Here is a 9,060-nt window from a genome sequence, read left to right on the forward strand (position 1 = left end):
ACTTTTTCTTTTAGGTCAATCACTTTTGAGGGAGGATGGTCACTCCAAAGTTACCCATTGAATGGATATGGTGTTGCAGAACATTTAAAATATTTTATCTTTATTTTCCATTTCGATTTAACTAATAGTACTTCTACAATACACAAAACATTTCAATATTCTTCCCCATATAGCTTCCTCTTATTATATTTTCCAATCTTGATTTATTTATTTATATTTTAGTTTATTCGTTTTCTTTTTTTTCCTGTGCCTGTGCTTACCCATATACCTTTTTCCTAACTTTTAATGTTCAATTATTTATCTGCAATGCAAATCAACATAAAAGATTTTATATGGTATGTGTGTGCATATGTGTGTGTGTGTGTGTGTGTATGTACATTTGTTGTTGTAGTGAAGGATATTAGATAAGTTAATAATGGAATCATTACATTTCCATTGTCTATTAAATATATGGCCTTTCTCGTGTATGACATGTCAACTTTGGGACACTAGTGTGAACACTGGAAACATTACATCACAGAAAACAAAATGAAGTGAGCACATTAAAAAACATGTTATTTAATTGAATTTATTTTAAATTTATATTTGACAGGAGAAAATAATTTCAATTGGTAATATTTTTCATTAAATAATGATAAATAAGGTTAAAAATGAAATTGAATCTGTCAACAGTTATTAAAGATGTGGTACACTTATTACACTGAAACAGATGAATATTAAAAGTCCATAATATGAATATCTAAAGTGCCGCTTTTTATCTGCTGTCCTCACTCTGGGCATGAAAATTCCATTGCCAATTCTAACTTGTGATTCTATGCAGCCCCAATTATTAGGACAGAATAAATAGAGATGTAACTTCCTATAGCAGTAGTGGGTTCCCTGTTTAGGGAGAACCCACTAGAGACAAGTGTCCTGAGTGTTTTCTGAATTCCTGTGATAATTTTATTTATTTCATTGACATCACCCAACTTTAAACACAATAGATCATACCATTTTTGGTTTCAACCATGTTCTACCCTTCTGCACTTCAGGCTCAGGAAATATGTTGTATCTCCAGTATATTAGCCTCTGACTCAAAAATACAGAACTTTTTAAATACAAAGTAGTGATAAAATGTAAATGGGCATCTTGATATACTGAGTTAGTTCCTTTTCCCTAGAAGTGTTCAGGAGGAAGCTTGATACCTTATTGCAAATGCATTAGGGAAGGAATTTGACATTTCTTTGTTGGTGCTCACAAATTTGAACACTTGTGATTGTATAAATGTCTTTCTTTTTATTAAACCAGAGTGTAGACAGAGTTGTGATGTGTAGTTCACAACCAGCAATGGCAGAATTGGGCTCTTAGGAAAAGGAAGAGCCAAATTGAAGATTTCAGGGAGTTTATCAGTCTGTGGTCAAAAGCACAGGAAAGAAGTAAGAAAATCAGATGCATTAGATTAGAGTGCATAGAGATAGTCAGGCTTACACTTTAGAAAATGCATGGCTGGAAAGGAAGATAATCTGAAAAGAAAAGACTACTGGTAGGTAATCACCTGAATTAATCTATATTCTACCTAGTTCTGGCACAAAAGACAATGTCTTGGTAGTCACAACTCCTGTTAACTAGAAAACATAGGAACCCACAAACTTAGATACGATGATATATTATTCCCACAGCATTCAGGTACTTTCCTATTTGCTGTCTATACTTACTCTGTTAAATCATGATTTGACTGAAAAAGTAATCAGGTCAGGCCCTCAATTTATCCTTTGTTTTCTGAAATAATTTTGCCATGCCATAACTTTCTCATGGCATTTTTCACTTCTGCATTCCTCAGTGTGTAGATGAGTGGATTGAGAAAGGGTGTTCCAATAGTATAAAATACTGCCACCATCTTGTCCATGGGGAAAGTGGTCGGGGGGCGTGTATATATGAATATACATGGGCCAAAGAATAAGATGACTACAATTATGTGAGACGTGCAAGCGGAGAGAGCCTTTTTCTTCCCTTTGGCACTGTGGTTTCTCAGTGAATGCAAGATGACAATATATGAAATTATCAAAATCATGAAACTACTTGAGCAAATTGCCCCACTGTTAGACACCAACAGCAGGTTGATCATGTAAGTGTCCATGCAGGCAAGTTTCAACAAGGGCTGCAAATCACAGCAATAATGATCAATCAAATAGGGTCCACAGAAAGGCAATCTTAAGGCCAGGATAATCTGAGCTGTAGAGTGTATTAAAGACCCTATCCAGGCAAGAACAATCAGGATGATGCAGACCTGCTGGCTCATGATGGTTGGGTAACGCAAGGGCTTACAGATGGCCACATAGCGATCAACAGCCATGAGAATGAGGACAAAGATCTCCATGCAGCCAAATAAATGTAGTGCAAAGACTTGTGTCATGCACTCATTGTAGGTTATAATTTTCTTTTCAGAGAGAGCATCCACAATTAATCTAGGGGCTGTGGAAGTTGAAAAGCAAGAATCTGCAAAGGACAAATAAAATAGAAAGAAGTACATGGGGCTTCCTAGTGTCCGGCTGGACTTGATGGTCACAATAATGAGCATATTCCCCACCACAGTTCCCATATAGAAAATTAAGAAGATTACAAACACTATTTTCTGCCTCAAGGGATCCTGTGTTAATCCTAACAGTATGAATTCAGGCACACTGTTATTTTGCTGCATTGTTTCAGTTGATGTGAAGAAACCACAGATTAGAACTAGTTAATCTGCAAAAGAAAAAAAGAAATAGATTCTAAATTTAGAGGTCAAATACATATTCTTGCAATGAAATTGCAACTTTCCAATGGCTTATTATTGACAATTCTTTGTATTTTTTTCTGAGTGAAATGGAATTCATAGTAACTATTCAATATATTTACCAAAATATTATTATTATTATTTTTGAAACAGAATGTCGCTCTGTCCTCTAGGCTGGACTGCAGTGGCATGACAAAATTACACATGAAAATAATACAATTAGAAATAGAAAAATAACTTAAAAGCAAATGATTTTTCAAACAAAGTAAACATTAATTTAGGGGTTTGGTATGAGTAGGTGTCTTCTGAGCTGAATGTGTTCCTTTAGCTTATAGCCAAGAATAATAAATATTTTGTACTGTGTTGCGGTAACAGATGAAAATGTACATGACTTACTACAATAGGCTTTCACATTATTTGAACCTGACAGTACCATTATAATATATTTACTTCCTAAATATACAGATCATTCTAATGATGTTGTTTAAATACTTGAGAATACCTTCCTTAATAAAATTTACATGTATGTGGGTGTGTGTGCACACACACACACATACACAGAGAAAGAGACAATAAACATAAAATTTTTGCAATGAGCAAAAAGTCAATCATTACAGTCCAACATGAGAATTATTTTAACCTCTTGCCTTGACTATCTTTATTTCCTTTTAATTTACCTCTGAAAATTTTCTAATTATTTTCAGTTCCAAATTCATCCTTTATTATTCAACTTTGTACTGCTTTGTTATACTGTGTTGTCCAAAGTTAAATTCGTCCATCTTTCCTTATTTTTCTGGGTTCTTCATAAAGTTTTCTTAAGAGACAAGTAGACACTGAGGCTAAAATGAGGAAAAAAGTGGAAGAATAATTGACACATAAATCAGGACATTCTTTCAAATTTCAGGTTTGCAGGTAAGCATCAGTGATTTAGAAAATGAGATCTATGCGCTCCAAGTCAGGACTGAAACTTTCAATAGAATTTTTAGTTTGTATGTTCTTATGAATCCCATATCCTGACTTCAAGAAAGAGAAGTTAAATATATAATGGGAATTAATATTTATTTGCATATTTCAAATATTGAACAAATTTTTCCATATACTTTTTCACATATATATTCCAAATAGCAACACAGTAAAAAATTAAAAGGGAAGTGTCAATATGATAAAATACATTTACAACACATTTGCCAGACAAAAGCATAGCTTTTTAAAATGTAAATTGATTTCACAGATAAGTTTCTGAAAAATATGACACAAATGAACATTGGAAAAATAACCCATCTTAAAAGAGACTGTTCTCCTTATTATAAAGATTATGCCTCTGGAAAGATGCTCAATTTCTTTCATAGTTAAATACATTCAAGTTAAAATTCCAGTTAGATAATTTTCACCTATCAGGTTAATAAAGTAATCCTTTTGATAAATGTCTTAACAAATAGTCTTGACAAAGGTGTGGGAAACCGTCAACCCTACAAACTTTTGGTGGGAATGTAAGTGGGTGCAACCTTCTAGAAAGTGACTTCAGTATCTATTATATGACAACCGGATATAGATATTGATCCAGTTATTCCGTTTCCTATAGACGCACTCATTCACAGAAACAAGGACAATCATTTTGCCTTTTTAGATGGTAGCAAGAGATAGGAAACAACTTTAGTGCCCATCAGAAGGGACATTAATGAATCAAGGATGATATTTTTACGCAAACATTAATAAGAATGAAGCAGATACAGATAGCTGTGTGTTTATATGCACACGCACGCACACACACACACACACAAAATTGTCCCTGACATATGGTGTAAATTGAAATGTAAGAGATTAATATTGCATGCTTAGAATTGTAACATTTTCCTTAACATCAGTACAATATATACTACACACACCTGCATATTTCTATACATGAATTATAGTAGAAGAGTATGAAAAAACTATAATGACTCTGAGCGGGGAAATTGCATTCTTGGCATTAGACATGGGAGAAATAACTACATTAAAAAATATTCACTTTGGTAGTATTTGACAATGTGTCATAATAATGCTACATCGAAAATAATGTTTTAAAAGCTTTACCTTGGGAGATGGGTTGTTATTCACCTTGTGATGGCATATCCCTGAGCCATCACAACTGTCTTGTTGTAGACAGGAATTCTAGTGGTATTCTTAGGGCTACATTAAGCCTCACAAATTTGAGTAAGTCAGATATAGCAGTAGTGTTGAAACTCAGGGCTCTGTAAATACAACATATGCAGACACACTGTCACTAACTGGAGATTCACTTCCTGTATTGAAGGTTTGTGAAAGCTCTTTAGCAAACAGAAATAAAAAATTGTATTTGTCTTCTCTGAATTAAGTATTATAAAAAGACACACACACATGCATGTATCTCCAGAATAGACATGAATAAGCAGGAATAAATAGATACAAATAGACATCATTACACATTTTTATAGTACTATACATTAGAATGAAGCAACATAAGAAAGGGTATTTTTATCTGTTCACTGCTGAATTACAGCACTTATAAAAAAGTAGGTTTTTGATATCTGTTGAATGAATCAAAGAATTAAGAGAAATTCTTATAGATCCAAATCATTAATGTTTTATACTATTTTATATTTAGCTGCATTAAGGAGAAGGAAGCCAGCATCCTACCGTGGGCGACATCATCACCTTCATGGAGCACTTCCTGGAACACCCCAATAGATTTTATTTCTGTTTGTTTATTATTTATTTTATTACTGCTCCTTGCAGAGCAGAGCTACCCTTAGGCAGTTTGCCCAGAGTAGGCTGTTTCTGTTTAATTATCTCCTACCCACTTCTACCAACAGCTCTTACCTGGTAGTGCCCATTTCCATCAAGAAATTCTGTGCATGATTTTTATTTCCATCTTTTCACTTTAGATTGTAAAGCACTTCTAGAAAAGTCCTTGAATTTCCCCACCTCCCACCAGTGTCTTGTATATGTTAGTTCCTGGCTGTTGTATTGATCAGATCCACCTTCTCTGAATGTTAGATACGACTAAGTTATTCTCCTATACAGACCTTACCAGCTTTGATAAGAGAGTATGCTATATTAGGATGTTCAATTGCCCTCTTTTCTTCCCAATATAATTTGGAGGCTACTTATTCAAATGAGAATTTTAAAAGTGCTTATAAATTAATATATAACTATTCTGATACGAGGCTCTCTTTGGTCTCACAAAGAAGTTTACATCCCCATCTTAATGGTAGAAGGCAAACTAAATTGGTTCCAGATTCATCCAACACTTTCTGAAATCTACCCTCACGCAGGATTTTTGACTGGGAAAATTTTCTCTTTTGCCTTCCCAGGAGAAGTGCTTAATATGAATTATGCAAAATTTAAGAGTCTGGGGAATGTCATCCCCTCAAGTGTCCCTTTTGGAACATGAGCCAGATGTGATAGATAACTTAATCTTCAATTTGTCTTGGATTATGGAAAAAAGAGGTAGCCCACTCTTGCAATTAGAGGTGTTAATTTGAGTGATAAATGACGTTTTTGACTAGAATTAAAAATGGTCTTCTATCAACCAAATCTTTGTTTCTCATACCATTCTCCAATAAAGTGATCAAGGCTTCTTGAAGAAATGTTTGATTCTAGATTTTTAACTGAGAGTGTACAAAATAAATGAGCGTTTCACAGCGGTGGAAATACAGAAGTGCTAAAACATGCACACAAACGGTGATGGGGACACAGGAGTCAACTGAAACAGCCTACAACGGCCAAAGCTGTAAAAATTTTTAGCAACAAAATAAATAACACAGTTTTGAAATATAACCGTAATTGTAAAATATATACCGAAAAGTTCATCTTTATAAATAATTGAATACATAGTTAAATAAAATAGAATTAGAGGTTAACTACCTTTCATTTATTTTTTAGTTGATATGTAATAATTATATTTATTGGATATGAAGTGATATTTCCATATTTCTTTACAATGTTTAGTAATAAAATCAGGGTAATTAGTATGTCCATCACCTCAGATATTTATTTTATTTTTAATTTTTAAAATTTTAATTTTTACTTATTTTTATTTTTGTGGGTACATAGTAGGTATGTTATATGGTTTGTCTGTGTTCTCACCTAAATCTCATCTTCCATTGTAGCTCCCATAATCCCCATGTGTCGTGGGAGGGACCCAGTGAGAGGTAATTGAATCATGCAGGTGGGTTTTTCCTGTGCTGTTCTCATAGTAGTGAATAAGTCTCACAAGATCTTATGGTTTTATAAAGGGCAGTTTCCCTGCACAAGCTCTCTCTTACCTGCCACCATGTAAGACATTCTGTTGCTACTGCCTCCCCTTCCACCATGACTGTGAGGTCTCACCAGCCATGTGGAATTGTGAGTCCATTAAACTTCTTTTTCTTCAATAAACTACCTAGTCTTGGGTATGTCTTTATTAGCAGTGTGAGAATGGACTAACACTATATATATATATATATATATATATATATATATATATGGAGTATATGAGACATTTTGATGCAAGCATGCAATGTGAAATAAGCACATAAGGGAAAATGGGATATTCATCCCCTCAAGTATTTGTTCTTTGAGATGCAAATAATCCAGTTATACTCTTTAAGTTATTTTGAAATATACAATTAAATTATTATTGACTATAATCAACCTGTTGTGCTATCAAATAGTAAGTCTTATTCATTATAACTCTTTTTTTGTACCCAATGGCCTTCCTCACCTCCAGTTTCTGGTAATTGTCCTTCTACCCAAATGTCCATGAGTTCAATTCTTTTGACTTTTAGATCCCACAAATAAGTGAGAACATGTGGTGTTTGTCTTTCTGTGTCTGGCTTATTTCACTTAACATAATGATCTCCCATTCCATTCATGTTGTTGCAAATGACTGGATCTCATTTATTTTTATGGCTGAATAGTATATACACCACATTTTCTTTATCTATTCATGTGTTGATGGACATTTCAGTTGCTTTCAAATCTTAACTGTTGGAAACAGTGCCACAACAAACATAGGAGTCCAGATACTTCTTTGATACACTAATTTCCTTTCTTTGGGGTATATGCCCAGCAGTAGGATTTCTGGTTCACATATTAGCTCAATTTTTAGTTTTTGAATAACTCTAAACTTTTTCATGTGGTTGTACTAATGTACATTCACATCTACAGCATACAAGGTTTCCCTTTTCTCCACATCCTCACCAGCATTTGTTATTGCCTGTCTTCTGTATATAAGCCATTCTAACTTGGGTGAGATGATGATATCTCATTGTAGTTTTGATTTGCATTTTTCTGATGATCAGTGATGTTGGGCATTTTTGTTTTTTTGAGATGGAGTTTCACTCTTGTTGCCCAGGCTGGAGTCCAATGGTGCAATCTTGGCTCACTGCAACCTCCACGTCATGGGTTCAAGTGATTCTACCATTAAAGTGAAAATAAGGTAATTATAAGGGCAACTTTCACTTAATATAAAACTTCTGAATATTCCACTGATTTTGTACTTTACAATTTTACTACTTCCTTTACTCATTTATGATTTGAACTATAAGACAAATTGAGAAAATATGTTCAGCAAAACATGTTTTTGTTTTGTTTTCATTTTCTGCTTATTATCCCCTAAGCAGAATCATAAAATATGTGGTTTTTTTTTTGTTTTTTTTTTTTTTTTGAGACGGAGTTTCGCTCTGTCGCCCAGGCTGGAGTGCAGTGGCGTGATCTCGACTCACTGCAAGCTCCGCCTCCCGGGTTCACGCCATTCTCCTGCCTCAGCCTCCCGTGTAGCTGGGACTACAGGTGCGCGCCACCATGCCCGGCTAATTTTTGTATTTTTAGCAGAGACGGGGTTTCACCGTGTTAGCCAGGATGGTCTCGATCTCCTGACCTTGTGATCCGCCCATCTCGGCCTCCTAAAGTGCTGGGATTACAGGTGTGAGCCACCGCGCCCGGCCAAAATATGTGTTTTAATGGCAACAATTGTCCCCACCTGACTGTGTTTACATGTCTCTTTTACCTCTGCTAACAGTAGTGACCATTTGTAGCATGTTCCCTCAGAATACAGGATGGGGTTTTTAAAATGTATTATGGATTAAGCGTCTATGATGATCTGGAAAACAAGCCAGAATCCTAACTTAAGGAATGCACATTTTGCTAAAACAGAAGAAAAACTGCAAAATGATTTGACATCAAGGATGCTAAATGATTAGCATTAGACCAATAGAAATATTATACATTTCTATTAACTATAAGAAATATCCACATAAATATTCAGTAATGCAATTTGGGTCTTCTGGTAATCTGTCACTTTTCAT

General features: G+C 34.5%; 1 protein-coding gene across 1 annotated transcript; it reads right to left on the reverse strand.

Annotated features, from left to right (window-relative positions):
* Positions 1 to 663: 663 nt before the first annotated feature.
* OR4C11 (olfactory receptor family 4 subfamily C member 11) lies at positions 664 to 5,949 on the reverse strand. The gene is made up of 4 exons (NM_001004700.3): positions 5,591 to 5,949; positions 4,826 to 4,983; positions 3,430 to 3,591; positions 664 to 2,721 (listed from the first exon to the last, which is right to left on the reverse strand). The coding sequence occupies exon 4, from the start codon at positions 2,675 to 2,677 to the stop codon at positions 1,745 to 1,747; it is 933 nt and encodes a 310-aa protein (NP_001004700.2). The 5' UTR covers positions 2,678 to 2,721; positions 3,430 to 3,591; positions 4,826 to 4,983; positions 5,591 to 5,949; the 3' UTR covers positions 664 to 1,744.
* Between the last annotated feature and the right edge of the window lie 3,111 nt (positions 5,950 to 9,060).

Source organism: Homo sapiens, chromosome 11, assembly GCF_000001405.40.
Source record: "Homo sapiens chromosome 11, GRCh38.p14 Primary Assembly".
Lineage (NCBI taxonomy): Eukaryota > Metazoa > Chordata > Mammalia > Primates > Hominidae > Homo > Homo sapiens.

Excerpts from the sequence above, each read along its gene's own strand:
- OR4C11 (NM_001004700.3), bottom strand. The coding sequence starts at position 2,677 with ATGCAGCAAAATAACAGTGTGCCTGAATTCATACTGTTAGGATTAACA.